Below are 17,010 nucleotides of genomic sequence, written 5' to 3'. Positions count from 1 at the left end.
TTCCAGGAGCCTCTTTAGATATTTTATTCCTAATCAGTCCCCATGAAATTTCACTGTCACAGATAGACTGCATATCTGTTTATGTAAATCTGTGCTTTATACAAAAAAAAAAAGTTTTTCATCCCACTAAAACAACAATTTTGTGTCTACAGATGCCTGACATTTCCTTCCCATTAACCCTTCTTTTTTTTTTTTTTTTTTTGGAGACCGAGTTTTGCTGCTGTTGCCCAGGCTGGAATGCAATAGTGCGATCTCGGCTCACCACAACCTCCACCTCCCAGGTTCAAGCGATTCTCCTGCCTTAGCCTCCCGAGTAGCTGGGATTACAGGCATGCACCACCATGCCCGGCTAATTTTGTATTTTTAGTAGAGACAGGGTTTCTCCATGTTGGTCAGTCTGGTCTCGAAGTCCTGACCTCAGGTGATCTGCCCTCCTCGGCCTCCCAAAGTGCTAGGATTACAGGCGTGGGCCACCACTCCCGGCTAACCCTTCCTTTTTAAGAAGTATTCATACTCTGTTTCATTAGATGAGGTGTGTGTGTGTGTTCTGTTTTAATCTGAAGGAACCCTTGCCCCAGATCAAACATCAATGTTCTTTCGAAGAGTGAGGTTTAATTTTGGTCTCAGTGGGGCTCTCCCTTTATGATTAAGATTTCTGCGTAATTTGCCTTCTATTTCACCCAGTGCCTATCGTTGTTAATTCCCTAGATGCCTGGCAAGACTATAGGCAACCGTATAGATAAAACACAGGTGACATCCTGGAGCAGAAGCCAGAGCCCAGTGAGTTTCCAGAGTTCTTCCTTCAAGTCACCAATTTGGGTGTCTATCTGGAGAGAAAAGGGCCTTCCTTATGGAGACAACACTCTCTCTCACTGCTCCCCACTGTGCAAAGACCTGGATGGCTCCCTCACTTAGGCTCCTGTTCACACTCACAACCAAAAAGGAGGTGCAGGAAATTTTCCAATTTCTCTGAAACTAAAGCAGCTTCCCCCTTTTAAAAAAGAGTCTATAATTTTGATCTATAAAAAGAACGCACTTAGCACTCAATAGTTAGGAGCTCTTACCACAACTGAACTGAATAGGAACATTTCACTAAGTTTCTATAAAAACTTTAACAAAATTTTTTAAGCATTTGTAATTAAAGGGCTCCCTGGCACAGCATGACAAGATGTTGAAAAGTGTTCTATTTATACCAAGTCAAACACCAATTGCTTTATAGTTCCAGGCATTTTCTGAAAGCCCTATAGAACATCGATAATCACATACTGGACTATCACAACGTTGCTGTATTTTAGATTATTATTTGTGGTAGAGAATTTCAAGAATTCATAGCCATCTCTTTTATCAACCACAAAGTGAAATGCAGATATTGAAATGTAATCCCCAGCAAATTGGTTTCTAGTTTATCTCTGTATAAAATACTTTACGTTGAGGCATGACATATTCATTCCCTTTTCAGTAGCCACCAAAGTTCATTTGACATAGGATAAGATTCTTTCTCCTTCCTTCTTTTAGTTCAATTAAAAGACTGAGTGCTGCTTGAATTCCCAGAAAACTAAGCTGACTTAATTAGGGCAGATGTCAAAATAATTAATAAGCCTATAGTAGATAAGTATGCTGTGAAAAGCAATACAGCTGTAATTAAACCAAAGGTGTAATCCTTATAAAAGAATCCTACGTGTGTGTGCAAGTGGAAGAAAATGAAATAACAATCTCAAAAAGATATTACCACATGTAAATGTGACTATCCTATACAAGAACTGACTTCAATGTTAAAGGTTCTGATTTAAAATAAAAACATCTACAATACAGACTGGGTACGGTGGCTCACACCTGTAATCCCCGCACTTTGGGAGGCTGAGGCAGGTGGATGACCTGAGGTCAGGAGTTCAAGACCAGCCTGGCCAACATTCTCCTGAGGTTAGGAGTTCAAGACCAGTTCTGGCCAGCAGAACCCCATCTCTACTAAAAATATAAAAAATTAGCCAGGAGTGGTGGTGGGCACCTGTAATTCCAGATACTTGGGAGGCTGAGGCAGGAGAATTGATTGAACCTGGGAGGCAGAGGCTGCAGTGAGCTGAGATCGCACCATTGCACTCCAGCCTGGGTGACAGAGCGAGACTCTTTGTCTCAAAAAAAAAAAAAAAGAAAAGAAAAGAAAAGAAATTTGCAATATAAAATAAATACATATATTTTTTAAAAGGTAAACATTCACAGGTCAAGGATATAGAGAAAATATCTGTAATAAGAATGTTTAACACCAGAGAGTTTTCTTTGCACAAGGTCTCTCAGGTGAGAAATACTATCAAGAAACACACTGAGTTTTAATGAAAGCTTTGCAGTTCTTCTCCTTTGAATGTGTCAATCCAAGATACGGATGGCTAATCCACAGATAAACTCTACGACGTAGTAATAATAAAACTACTTGAACTAAGAAATAAGGCCAAATTAATCTCAGGAAAAAATACAATTTTTATGGCACAAAACTAAAGTTTGAAAGAGAAGATAGGATTATCTCCTGCTAAACGTTGATATAAACGTTCCCATTAGCTCTCAAGTTCTATTGCTGTTTAAAATACGTGACATGTGGGCTTTTTCTTGGACCTGGGCAATACTGAACAAAATGCAATGGAAAAGCAAACAGGGTGCAAATGAATCACATGGGGACAAGCCAACACACTGGCACCCCACTGTGGCCTGAAAGCAGCACCCACAAATGAGCCAGCAAGTGACACCTTCCTAACAGACTCCACGCCAGAGACAAGATATCCCACAAAGCCAGGGCCCATCCTGCTAGCTAATGGGGAGGGTGGGGAGGGAGAGCTCTGCCCACCCAGGAGGAGGGAGCCTGGCATGGGGAGCCCTGCTCCAAACCCAGGCCACGTGCTGCTCATTTCCATCTCTCTGGGTCTCTGGGAAACCGCAGCTTCCCATTTTTGCTCACATGTTCACAAAGTACCTCCACCTACTCAAATCTTAAACATAGAAACAAGGGCCTACAAAACGGCATTTTAATTTCTGTCAGAACCAAAGCCATACTCGTCTGAATAAGTCAGTTACAGCAGCACTAGGCACATGAAAAGAACAGCACCCTCCCCAACACCTACTAGATGATTAGCATAAAATGAGAGGGAAACCGGGTCTAGACCCAAAACCATAAGCACAGCACCACCCAGCGACACTAGGAGGAGCTGCACATGAGGAACTCGAGGCTCCAGCCCAGGGCGGCCCTAGTGATTTCTCCTCGCTGAAATCAAAGACCCAGTAAAATATCTGGAATATTTCCAGTATTATCCATACCGAAAGATCTGGAATGGAGTGGATTTTAAGCCTCCTCGAAGTCAAACAAGCTTAGAGCAAATGGCATGTCATATTTTCTGAGTAGCTGACATGGGGTTGCCAGATAAAATACAGAATGCATGTTCCCTGCAATATTTGGGACATATTTATACTTTTTGTTTTAAAAGTATTCATTGTTTATCTAACTTTCAAATTTAATTAGGCAGCCTGTATTTTTATTTGCTAAATCTGGCAATCCTAAACCTTCTATAGTCTGAACAATTCCTGCCCCAAAGTATCCACCCCCAGAGATCAGAGATTTTTGCAAAACAAACTCTTTAAGTTTATTCCATGAGGCAGCATCACATCAGCAGCATTGTAAGCTAGCGGATTGCCCCTAGCAACAGGCATGGAAGACGCTCTGCTCCATGAAGCCAAAGACTAGGAGGGGAGGGAAAAGCAGAGACTGGAATGGGGGTCCAGATAACTGGGTCATAAAACAGAACCACGACAGTGCAAGAGGATGGAGAAGAGATGGGCAATTCTGAAAAAAAACAAAGGAGAGAGGAAAACTAACAACCCTTGTCTCTTGAGAATTTTACCTGTTTAAAGGTGTTCCTGCAGCCTAAAGACACTGCTACTGTGTTTCCCCTCATTGTGGCACGTGGGCCTGGAAAGGTAAGGTCTGAAAAACTGGCATATCAAGAAAGCCACACCACCACCAATTGTCCACACCCAAGCAATCGTTTCTTTAAGAAGGGGTTATTAAAATGAGTTTGTGTCCCAGTTGTCTGAAATTTAAAACCTCATTGTTTTTCTAAGACACTAAACAGGTTTTGTTTTATGTTATTTGCTCTTCCTTGGCCCGCCCCTTCGATAAGCACAGCCACCACCACCGAGGCCTTGCACACACCTTTGCAGTGAACGGCGATGGCCCCTTCGGTGTTCTCACAGATGTTCAGGAACCTTCGCACGATGTTGTCACTGGGTGTGCTGCCATCTATGAAGAAGAGGTCATAGTGCTCGAAGCCAGCGTCTGTGAAGCGCTTTGCCTCATAAATCTTTTTGTTTAGCCTCACAACTGCAGTCACATTATGCTTTTTGAAATAAGGAAAGTAGGCTTCAGGGGCGTGAAGAGGATAACCTAAAGGAACAAAGGAGCAGTAAGCAAAAGGCATGCATTTCATCTTCCACAACCCAGAAATACAAAACTCTCAACAATGAAGTGTATAAATCTCAACAAAGCTTGGGAGGAAAGTGTGTTGTGTGAGAGAAGAGGTCACAGCAAGCTCCTACAAGCATCAATCTGCATAACTGTAAGCACCACAGGAGGTTAAAAAGAAAACTTCTGTAAGTACTGAAAATACATCATTAAAGTTCAAAATCTCAACCTCTAGATTCGAATCCTGGGAGCATACTCTTCCCACTCCCAAGACAAAAGCATTCTTGAAGTAATCAAATGTGCATAACAGACCTAGAATGGTGACTTTATTCTCTCTTGAGCTTTATTCTCTACTTGACAAACAGTTTTCAACTACAGCTGAAGCTTTTTTGCCATATGTATAGTTTTAATTTGTAGTACAATGCTCCCCAGAAGCAATTATTATTAAGCACCTACTATGTACAAGTCACAATTGCGTATCATTTCAAATTCTCAAAACCATCTCTTAAGTATGGCTAATTCCATTTAACAGATTAAGAAACTAAAAGAGGGGGTGTTGGGAGGATATTGGTCAAAGAAAACAAAATTTCAGTTAGAAAGGAGTATGTCCCAGAGATCTATTGTACAACATAGTGACTATAATAACAATGTATTATATACTTTAAAGTCATTTAGAAAGTAAAATTTAAGTCTTCTCACCACAAAAAATGATAAATATGTGAATACTTAAGTAAGACTTGACTTAACCATTCTACGATGTATACATATTTCAAAAGTTGTTGTACACCATAAATATATAATTTTTATCAATTAAAATATAAATTTTTTTAGTTAAAAATAAACAATAACTTTTGTGGACACTTCCTTTTTTTGAGGGAGGAAGATGCTCCACCTTTAAATCCCCTTTTATTTTTGAGTGGCTCCACCATCATGTGAGTATTCCTGGGAGCTACACAGTCAGCTGGGTTACAGACCTAGCCTTAGCTAATCAGCCAAGGCAACCACTGGGGGCTTTGGCCTTTGCAGGCCTTGCAATGGCAGCTCCAAAAGTTCAGGGGACTAAGTTCCCAGCACACTGATGGCCACATCTGTAACCCATTCAGAATTCACTGAACCCTAACATACCAGCTGAGTGCAATTATCTCAGTTGGAACCCATTCATGATGGGAGGTTCCAGGGGTGGCGGCAGCCAGCAAAGTGAACCAGACTGTTTCCACGCTGTGTGCTTGGCTGTATTTCTTGCTGCCTTGGATCCCTGTTATGCTAGTCAGCTCTCAGCTCCAAGCCGACTCTTATGCTCTGTGACACTGGGGCTGGAGTCCATATACTACGCCCTACATTTCCCAGACTACCTTTCTATCTGGCTTCCTATTGGTTGTAAAAATGGGAGGCACTAAACCTCAACCTGAGGAGGAGGAAGGGAATTCTTCCTGTCCTCCTGGCAGCATCACTTCAGCAGCAGAAAACAGGAGCAGGTTCTGCTAACTCCACTTTTGTCCCTTTTGTCCCCCCAGCCTTAAAGGTACTAGCTGTTTTCTCCAACATATTCTGGTTTCTTCAGTGTTGCCTTTTTACTTTTTAGTCTTCTTTGAAATAAACTCCTTGTATTAAATGCTTTATGTTTGAAATGCCTAGTGTGGTTCCCATTTTCCCACTTGGGTCCTGTTCATCTTCTAAGCCTAGTTCTCCAGCCTTTTCTTAAAGTCTATGAGCTACCCAACATATTCCAAAAACTGCCTTTTACCAGAGTTGGACAGCCATAACTGGTACACTTGGCCAGGTCACACAAAGGATGAAGACAGAATTGGAAGGCAGGACCAATTAATCCACAGCTCAGATATGTGATTTTCACAGGCTATGTTGCTTTTGAGCAAACAGGTAAAACAGAGCTTATTTAAAATCTTCTGTGTAGAAACAATAACCTACACAAACATGGAGAAAACATGCTTTTCTAACTGCAAAAATCAAGTCTGTTTTCCTAGTTGGTTTACTTGCTCAAATTATTTCCCTGCAACAGATTTATAGCCTAAAGCAAAAAAAGAACTGTAGTTGGCATTAAGAAGTAACGGTTTTTCTATCATGTGAGGAATGGGGAGGAGAAGGGCTCATAAACACCTGGGCAGCCTGCCCTGGTGTGGCGGGCTGGTGAGAGCTTCTGCCTCTGGGTTGCTAGCATGCCTGGGACCTCCATGACAGCACCTGTCACACGTTGTGTTAGCAATTGGTTCAGTGCCTATCCCCTTCCTCCCTGCAACAAAGGCTGCAAGAATCTCTCTTTTCATATATGAATTTCCATCATGAGTAAATGGCAGCATAGCTAACATGCCTAAATAGACTATTAAGAGAAACGATGTATACATCTTTTGAGAAGAAAACACTGGACAGAAATTGTCCAAATATGGCAACAGGGCACTGAAATAATAATAACAACAATAATTGCACCTAACGTTTATCAAGCACTTACTATATGCTAGCCACTATGCTAAGTGCTTTATGTGGATTATCTCATTAAAACCTACAATTACTCAATTTCTGGTGCCTGGAAAAGCTGGCCCGTACACATACAGCTAGTAAGAGGTAGAGCCAGTATTTCAATCCTGGCAGTCAGATTCCAACACCCATGCTGGGGCTAATTTCAAGTAAGATTCAACTTGATTCTATCTGTTAAGACTCCAAATAAGAGAACATGATATGAACATGAGCGGTTAGAATTGGTGAGTAGGTTTTATAAAAATCCTTAAAACTGTTTAGAATAAATTATAACGAACAATGGAAATGTCCTATGACCTGTGAACAACTGTTTGTGGCTTTTACGGATGTACGTGAGTGCTTTTTGCGAGAGATTGGTTTTAGCAATGTGTATAATGTGCCGACCCAGAACTTATGGAGCCTTCATCCGACCCTTACTCCATCTGGCCACAAGATGGTGCGCTGGCATCACTGAACCACAACAAAGTCCTGGAGTTAAGCTGACCAAACACATGAACACGGTATCAGAGTCAAAAGAGATGTTTTTATTCATCTCTTCCCAGGCCCTCATTTTAAAGTTCGAAAACTGAAGAACAGCAGAGTCAAATGACTAGTTCACTCAGTCATTATTAAAAGTAAAAACTGCAAACTGAGCAGGCAAATGTAGAAAGACATAAAATCTGTTGATTAGGCCAGCTAATGATAAAAATGTAACCATAATACCTGCTATCTAATAAACGCCTATTATGTGTGCCCAATACTCTGCAAGGCACTTCACATAACATCTCTAATCCTCACTAGGTGCCTGCAGTGAGGATCATATTTCTCCCACTGTGATATATAGGAAAACTGATGCTCAGAGAAGCTGTGGAACTCACTGAAGTTCACGCAGCCAAAAAGGAATGGAGCCAGGCTTCAACCTGCCCAGGCTCTTTACTAAACGGGACACTGGGCTTCTCTCATTAAAGGAGCAGGCTGATGCCTCAAATGGTCGGGATTCTCAGTCTGAAGCTATCTTTCTCTCTCTCTCTCTCTCTGTGTGTGTGTGTGTGTGTGTGTGTGCGTGTGTGTGTGTGTTTAAATAGAAGTGAGAATGACAGTGACACTTAAGAGACATTTTTACAGAAAATCTGAAATCCAAAATATCTGTTTCATTCTGCTGTTATCCATCATTTATCAATTCAAAAATGTTTAACAAAAAAAAGTAGGGCTCTTCTCTTCCCCACTGTCAAAACAATGTGAATCAAAATGGCTAAAAGAAACTCCTAGTGTTCCCTATTGACACAAACACACACTTAAGGCTCTTATAATACATTCTGCCCAGATCCCAAGATTTTAGAGCTTCCTTTAGCTACCTCCTAGCAACAGCTACTTGATCACTTCTTTAAAACCTCAGCTTTTCTAACGAGCCTCTAAAATGACTTTCAGCCTCCTCAGAAAAACACAGGTTTCTCAATTCAAAAAAAAAAAAAAATTACCAAGACGTCACTGTAATTGGATCAGGTTTATTAATTCCATCACAAAATTATTTTCTCAACTTCAAAAAGCATTTACAAAGTTAAAGTACTTTACAAAAAAGTATAGTGAAGCTTCTAGTGAATATTAGATCTTAAAATGGAAATTCCAGTAAAATAGCAATATTTTACCAATGGCAGCCTTAAATGAAATTGTTCTAGGCATCATAAAAGCTGACAAAGGTGAGATAAATGTACTTTCAGATTTTTTTATGTCAATATGACAGGGCACAATACATGCATAGAATAAAATATGCATATAGAGCGATATCTTAAAGTGATTATTTCTTGATTATATGATGTTTTTAAAGAGTTTTACTCTTTATATTACTTAAATTTTCTAGAGTGAGCATGTACATCCTCTATAATAAAATTTAAAACAACACAAAATTCAGAATTAAACAGACCAATGTTTGAATCCACACGCCAACAATTACTGGCCTATGAACCTGGACAAGTTAGGTAATTCCTGTAAGCCTCCAGCTTCTCTTCTATAAAATAAATACCACCTGCTCCAGAGGGTTGTTCTGATCATTAAATAGATGATGTATATGCAAGAGGCTTAGCACCCTTCCTGGCAGGTAAGCGAATGGTGGCTATAATTTTTTCCCCATATTAAATATAGGACCAAAAATTGTTTTAAATATTTTTGACACTTATAACTTATTATACAAAATTGCGTATCCTTTTATCTAGTGATTCTATTTCTAACAATTTAGAGAAGAAACTACAGCTGCAAAAAGATGTATGAACATTTATGCCAACCACAGCAGTTTTTAAAAAGTGAAAAACTTCATCTGGTTAAATAGATGATGAAATTTAAAAAGGAAAAAAAGAGTAAGAATAAGAGATAAACAACTTAGATCTCATCCAAAAATAAATTAACAGGCTGGGCTCAGTGGCTTAAATCTGTAATCCTAGTGCTTTGGGAGGCAGGAGGATCACATGAGCCCAGCAGTTCAAGACCAGCCCGGGCAACATAGAGACCTCATCTCTACTAAAAATTAAAAAAAAAAAAAAAAACCAGCCAGGTGTGGTGGGCTGTGCCTTGTAGTCCCAGCTACTTGGGAGGCTGAGGCAGGAAGATCATTTGAGGACAGGAGTTCAAGGTTGCAATGAGCTATGATCACACCATTGCACTCCAGCTTGGGCAACAAAGCAAGAGCCTGTCTCTAAATAAACAAAAGCAAAAACCAAAAATAAATTAACACAATATGGCACAGTCATATGGTAGAACAAAATGCAATGCAGTCGTGGAAAATGATTACATGGATCTTCATTTACTGCTATAAAAAGAAGTCGTGATATGTTAAGTGAAGAAACCTGGCTGTAAGATATTAACTATGTTATGATGCCACTTTTGTTAAAAAAAAATTTTTTTCAAAATGCATGTATCCATAGAATATACAATGTCTATATACATAAAAACTTTTAAATGGCTTTTACAATTATATCTCTCAATTTCTCATTAAGAAAACGTAGTCAAACACATGAATCACAAATGGTGAAAGTCTTTCGACTTTGCCAAATACCCAACAACAAAACTACTACTGAAACAATATCCCTACTAACATTTCCTGGGCCTGAGTCAGATAATTTGCACAGAAAGCAGGTTTAATCAGTCTTATCTTGAAAGGCCAATTGTCAGAAAGCAGTTTCCTCAGGCTCTCAACATGTAATTCCTAACAACCCAAAATGACAGAGGTTAATTATTGAATGTCCAGACCAAAAAAGATTATTTAGCAAGCTTATAAGTAAGAAGATCAAATTCTGACTTCACCATAGAGGTATCCTGTTTGTGAGCTTAACTCTCTAGACCTGGATTGCCCATTCGCATGGTAAAATCATGATTCAAGCAGAGTTCCCTATTAAATATGTCACAGGTATGAAATGATAAGCATATTTATGAAAGCTCAAATTATAAAACCTAAATGCATGAATAACAATATACAATGAAACTAGATTCTAGAATATGATGATTAAAGAAAAATAAATCTTTTTTTTTTTTTAAGAGACAGGGTTTTGCTATGTTGCCGAGGCTGGTCTTGAACTTCTGGCCTTAAGCAATCCTCCCACCTCAGCCTTCCAAAGTGCTGGGATTGCAGGCACATGCCACCATGCCCAGCTGAAGAATAAATCTAGACCAGAGGTTTCAAGTTAGGTTCCCTCAGAACACTGGTATTCCACCTCTATGATCAGATAGAAAAAAAAAGGGGGGGGGATATTTTGTTCATGGATATTTTTTCAATTTTATGTACTTCTCTTGTAAATTATTCTTGAACCTCTGTTGTCTATCATTACTTGTTTTCTAGGGAATATTAGTAGATAGAAAAAATTAGTAAGTACAAAATAAGTCTTAATGGGAAAACTTGCATAGCTGATCATGTTTCATTCAAAAGGTTTATTTTTAGTTTTGTTTTTATTTTTTTCCTAAATATGTATGCCCATGGCAATAAATTATGCTGCAAATAAGTAGTTTAACCACTGTCAGCTAGAAAATTGTACCTAGTTGTCACAATGGAACTAAGTGTATCAGTGTAGTGGCAATGTTTAGGAGCCCTCCTCTGGTTTGGAGTACCAGTTCTGCCTATTACTTTGTGACCTTGGGCAAATTCTCTACTAATAAGGCTCAATTTACTCCTCCCTAAAATGCAGATAACAATATCTGTATCTCATAGAGTTGTGTTGAGTGTTAAAAGAGATAAATGCTGTGATCTGTGTAACTAGCACCTAAGTATTCAGTAAATGACAGATTGTCTTCATCATCATTATTCAACATGGTGTTACCCAAAGAACATCTTGATGTGTAGCACTCTACCAACAAATAAATCTGAGAACCACTGAAAGAATACAGCAATCTGCTTATGAGTTTGACCAGTTTGTTTCTCAGATTCTTCTCTAATAATTGGGGGTCAGGTAAAGTGAACATCCTATTTATGGCAAGCTAAAAATTTGTTAAGTTCTAAAACAGTGATTATAGCTCCACCTACTGGAAATACAATATTTAACACACTATTACTACTGTTCAATTTTTTAAATTATGAATAAATATTCTTTGGAGAATATTACCAAAGAAAATAATTATCTGAGGAAGTTAAGAAACTTAGAAAGATAAATCAAAATAAATGTTTGGATGGTAAAGGAAAAAAAAACCTACCATTCTCAATTTTGCTTTTAGGATGTGGTCCACTAAATGCTAAAAATTTTCCTGGAACAATCCAGTTGAAGTCACCATTTTCAACTCGCTGGCAGAATTTTGTAAGAAAAGAGAAGAAAAATATTTTATAATTCTTATACAATTTAGGAAACCCTTACAAATAAAACTGCTTTTCACTCTTAGTACTAATTAGACATACATGTAGACAAACATAGCTTAAAATAAAAACATGCACCTGATTCTCAAAATGCTATTTAGGAATTCAATCCGCTTTAGAAAAACTTGTGTCTAGACTGTATGAAATGTTTAGAAACTTTTATTTACGGCAGAGGTATTTTGCATAAAATGTTTGTTTCCTGGCCACTGCAAAGAAATGAAATGGAAACAAACATTGCTTGTCTTGGCGATAAATAAGAGAAAATGGGAAATATGAAAACTTTCCATGAATGTAGTAAACATATTTTAAACAATGAAAAAACATCTGTAAATATCAAGCTCCTGATGAATACACTTCCAATTTTTTTTCTCTTTTTATAGGGCTGTTATCTCTTGTCAATGCTGATTTTTAGAGGGGGAAATGGCAAAAGGCAGGAGCGAGTGATATTGGCGCATCCATTCCACAAACCAGAGTCAGCCAAGCTGTACTCTGGAGGATAACAAGATTCAAGCAAGGGACATACATAGAGTCAGGTGCTCCTCCACTCCAGCTAATGAGACACCTTGTAGGAAAGCCAACTGAACACAGCTGATCTTCCAACTGAATTTTCATGTGAAAACTCTCTTTTTAAAATGTTGACTTTTTAAATTAGGTTTTTAACTCCTGTGAAACCAAATAAAACATGCCCATTGGCTGACTTTGAGCACCAGTTATCAGCCTCTAGTCTAAACACGCTAAGAGATCCTCAGAAAAGGCTTAAGAAGACCAAGAAAGTAGCCAAGCACATTCCCATGGCTCCATCATCTCCCCCATTTTCTTCCCTTCCCCATGTGCCTCCGAACCATGGGACACTGGGGCACGAGTAAGGTTACCCCAAATTTTGCAGTCATTAGAAGGCATTTGTGCAATGCATCACAAAATATATATATCACCTCTTCACTTACGCTGTCTTTACCACCACCACCCCCTCCCCACCTACCCCTACCCTTGCCCTCCTTGTCTCCATCCTCAGGGCAGGGAAGCAATGTTGTTCTCTTCACTGGGCCATCCGTTACCATCCATATAAAAAGCTTTCTCCCCCCATTATATGGCAAGGACCTCAACAGTAGAAAACTGACCCAATATAGACTCTGTACTCTACCATAAGAACACAATAAATATTTGTTAAACAAATTGGAATATGGCCATCAAAAAAAAACTGGAGCCATTACTTTAATTACTTATATTACCCATTATCATTTCCATGAAAATCAAAACTTGGCTATAAAATATAATTGTCATTTTTTAATGCAGATTTTTTTCCCAGTTATAAAAAGTTATATGTGAAACTGTGCATACCATCTTATAAACATCTGAACTGCATTTAATCTAGTTGTAATAAACATAATATCTCCAGCTGGGCGTGGCGGCTCGCGCCTGTAATCCCAGCACTTTGGGAGGCCAATGCAGGTGAATCACCTGAGCTCAGGAGTGCAAGACCACCCAGGGCAACATGGTGAAACCCCGTCTCTACTAAAAATACAAAAAAATTAACCAGGTGTGGTGGTGTGTGCCTGTAGTCCCAGCTACTTGGGAGGCTGAGGCAGGAGAACTGCTTGAGCCCCAGCGATGAAGGTTGCAGTGAGCCGAGTTTGCACCATTGCACTCCAGCTTGGGCCACAGAGTGAGACTCTGTCTCAAAGGAAATAAAAAAAATATCCAAAATGCCCTAAGTAAAATCTAAGAAACCCTGAGTGTTATGATTGCACATGTGAAATTAAACCTCAAGCATAGCTTCTATTTATAACAACTTAAATAAAGAATCTAATTATGGCAATTAAAATTTGCTTGTTTAAATAAAAGTCTCAAATTAATTATCCAATATCTCTCAAGTAATTATTAAGCTTAACACAGTATTTGAAAATCCAAGAATAAAGGTATGCACTAATCATCAAGAGACTAAAACCAATTCTTTATGAACAATAAAAGAAAACAGGTTTCTACGGTCACTATTTCTGTATCCTTGACCACCAAGTAGGTTAGATAAATACGCTCTGCAATATCTGCTTATTTGGATTACAGAAATCCATTTGGTTAAATAGCAACCTTTTATAATTAATCATATGGAGAGAGGCAAGGGGATCCCTAAGATACATTCATTCACAGAACCAAAAGAATATGTTTGCAAATCCTCCTACCCAAAAAGATAAATAGTAGATAATATTGGGTTATATTCAGCAGCCAGGATAAGGCTGATGGAATAAACAAAAAGATTTAGGTCTTAGACCTAAATCTGAGAAAAAATTAATAAGGAAGTTACAGCTTTTAACTGACCTAATATAATATACGCTTACTTTGGTAGTCTTCCAAAGTTAATATTTGTGCCTTTATTCATAGTGAATTATACAAATGTCAATGTTTATCAATAATAAAATACTTTATATGACCCAAGTTGGTTTTTCTAATTAAACACACACATACACTTCAAAGAAATCTAGATCAGACAGGAACTTAAGGTACTTTCCAACCCTACCACATTTTGTAAACAAATACCTAAGCAAGGATGAGGCAAGAGTATGATATTACCACTTCTGATCTAAAGCCTACTACCTACCAAATACTATGCAAAAAAAACTATAGATGTTCTTCACTGTAAGAAAAATCCAAAATAAAAAAATCTGAATTCCTGAAAGTGATACATTTAGGTGTTGTTATTCACTGTGCTATAGGATTCTCCAATCTACAAAAGATTCACAGCTTTCTTTTGAATAACTCACTCTCCTGGTGCACTCAAAATATAATTTGACTAAAAAACATGAATTTTTACAATTCCTTTTTTTTATCTGGAGATGGAGTTGCATTCTGTTGCCCAGGCTGGAGTGCAACGGTGCGATCTCAGCTCACTGCAACCTCTGCCTCCGGGTTCAAGCAATTCTCCTGCTTTAGCCTCCCAAGTAGCTGGGATTACAGGCACACACCACCAGGCCCGACTAATTTTTTTGTATTTTTAGTAGAGACCGGGTTTCACCATGTTGGCCAGGCTGGTCTCGAACTCCTGACCTCATGATCCACCCACCTCAGCCTCCCAAAGTGCTGGGATTACAGGCATGAGCCACTGCACCCGGCCAATTTTTATGATTTCTAAGAAATGCATTTGTGACTCTATAGTAATGGTCACAAATACATTTTTCTGTCCAAACACTGAAAACTATTTGACCTTTTTACTACTGTAACAAACCTACAATAAGATAGAAAAGATAGTCTTTGAGGTTGACGATTACAAGGTTGATTTCCTATATCAACAGATGTGTTTTCTAGGAAAACATGCAGAAACAGTTTTGAAGCGCAATTCAACATTCATTTAGACATTTGCTGAGCCTTTATTATATATCAAGGACTGTAACTTGGTGTCAAACATAAAATAATAAAAAGCATTCTCTATGCTTTTACAGAGTCCAAAGGCAGGTGGGAATGACAAATAACAGTAACAAAAATGGCAGCAAATATGTGGATACCACTGACTCTGTGTTAAACACTAGTGTATTCTATACAACTTACTTCTCATAGCAACCCTATGAGGTAGATGTTATTTTCATCTTCGTTTTATCCATTAAAGAAAAAGTCACATTACACTTTGAACATGCGATACTAAAAGTATGTAAGAGGAATGACAGTGACACAAAGACTATTTTGAAATTTAATAAGGTAGAACCACAGTGGCATTTTAAAATTCATTTAAAAAGTGCCTTCTTTATATTTCCCTAACTTCTAAAACAACAAAACAGTGTTGACAGTATAGTTGTATTACATAAATGCAAATATGCTGTAAGGACAGGCACTTTATGAGCTTAAAGCAAAGTAAATATTTGAATTATTTGGTTTAAGTTGACATGCCATCTGGCTTTAAATAATAATCAAACTCTAGATTATTAATTTAGACTTGCTTTTGAGGGAGACGGTGTGGTGGAGCAAAAGAGGAGTGTCCCATGTGGATGACTGCTTCACCTCTGCTAGCATCAGCTACAGCAGGGAGACAGTGGGGTTGGAAAACATGTGGAGGCCCATTCCAAAAGTCCAGATCAGTGAACACCTCTGCTGGTACAACAGCAGGGTGCAAAAATCCAGTGCACATTTGCAGATGCCACTCCAATGTTCAAGACGCAAAGATGATTTGGAGTCAGCAGCACAAACATAGTTGTTGAAACTTGGAACTGGATGCACTTAATCATACAAAGTGTGTATAACCAGAAATCATGAGGTCCTCAAGAACCCCAGCAAATCAGGGTGGGCAAAGGAAGAGAAAGGATTTGAGAGGGAGGCTGAGAAAGATGGCTAGCCATGGAGGGAGGAGAAATCCAAAAGACAGCACATTATAAATCAGGGAAGGAATGCGAATTAGAGAGCGACCATAGAATAAACCAAGTAGGAAGAAGAACAAGCATGGCCACTTGGTTTTACGAACGCTTGTGTTAGCAGGAACAGTTTCAGTAGAGGCCAGACCATAATTAGAGTCGAGACTGCTCTCTTAAGAAGTTTGGAGATTAAAGAAGGAAAAGATACCAAACAATCATTAAAGAGGAAGAAAAAAAAGCCATGGGGAATTGTTTAGGTCAGGGTAAGTCTCAAAACATTTTATAGACTTAACCAACGTGAGCTTTGAACCAGCAATGGGTGTAACAGATACGGAAACACTGGGTCCCCTCACTTTTGCAGTTGCGGTGGCCAGGAAGTAATTTTGCTTCCTTAAACTTGAGGCTTTGGAGTGGTGTAATGAACACTACCAGACAGCTCCAGGAGAATGCTTCTTCTAATAGTTCTTCCAATATTCAAATTGCCACAGGAGGCGTACTTCCATAACTGCTCCAGGTGGTGAGGACATGCCCACATACTTGCATTCTGAGGACTGCTTGACCCCAGTCCTATGGCAGTCCCATTATTTCCAGTTCCATAATCCACCAACATGTAAAGAAGGCAGACCAAGCAGCATCCAGATTACATTTTAGTTTGCTGTACAAATTCTAATCCAAACAAAGTCTTGAAGCATCATAACTTCAGTGTTCAACAATATTGACTCCTGCTCTTGACCCAATGTGACTTGCTGAGAGACAGGAGGCCTAACAAACTTTACTATTTCTCAAGGTAGGTGCTAAAGAGCAATTGTTAGGACTCTACACCACCTGGTCAATCTGAAAATTTACTTATGCAGTGAAGGATGACAGAGTCAACCTGGAGATAGGTCCCCACTCACATATTAAACTAAATTGATGTTCCATACAGAACTGGTCTTAGATTA

At 38.8% G+C, this 17,010-nt stretch overlaps 1 protein-coding gene across 6 annotated transcripts in view, besides 2 other annotated features; it reads right to left on the bottom strand.

Annotated features, from left to right (window-relative positions):
• CDC14A (cell division cycle 14A) overlaps positions 1–17,010 on the bottom strand; it is a 175,277-nt gene that overhangs the window by 53,204 nt on the left and 105,063 nt on the right. For 5 of the 6 annotated variants that reach the window (NM_001319211.2, NM_001319210.2, NM_003672.4 and 2 more), the window contains exons 8-9: positions 11,582–11,669; positions 4,193–4,423 (exon numbers count right to left, since the gene is read on the bottom strand). In NM_001319211.2, the coding sequence (NP_001306140.1) occupies positions 4,193–4,423; positions 11,582–11,669 (319 nt within the window). The remainder of the gene's footprint in view (positions 1–4,192; positions 4,424–11,581; positions 11,670–17,010) is intronic. The other variant, NM_001319212.2, reaches the window with a different exon arrangement.
• Positions 2,937–3,026: an enhancer, noted in NCBI's record as "active region_1383". NCBI's record gives its function as "activates an Ori minimal core promoter by ATAC-STARR-seq in GM12878 lymphoblastoid cells {active_cell/tissue: GM12878}" and the evidence as "EXISTENCE:reporter gene assay evidence [ECO:0000049][PMID:35858748]".
• Positions 4,305–4,926: an enhancer, noted in NCBI's record as "OCT4-NANOG-H3K4me1 hESC enhancer chr1:100927704-100928325 (GRCh37/hg19 assembly coordinates)". NCBI's record gives its function as "activates a minimal SCP1, AML or CMV promoter by ChIP-STARR-seq in primed H9 embryonic stem cells {active_cell/tissue: H9 hESC(primed)}" and the evidence as "EXISTENCE:reporter gene assay evidence [ECO:0000049][PMID:30033119]".

This window comes from Homo sapiens, chromosome 1, assembly GCF_000001405.40.
Source record: "Homo sapiens chromosome 1, GRCh38.p14 Primary Assembly".
Classification (NCBI taxonomy): Eukaryota; Metazoa; Chordata; class Mammalia; order Primates; family Hominidae; genus Homo; species Homo sapiens.
The sequence above is the reverse complement of the archived record's forward strand: the minus strand, read 5'-3'. Positions and strand labels throughout refer to the sequence as shown.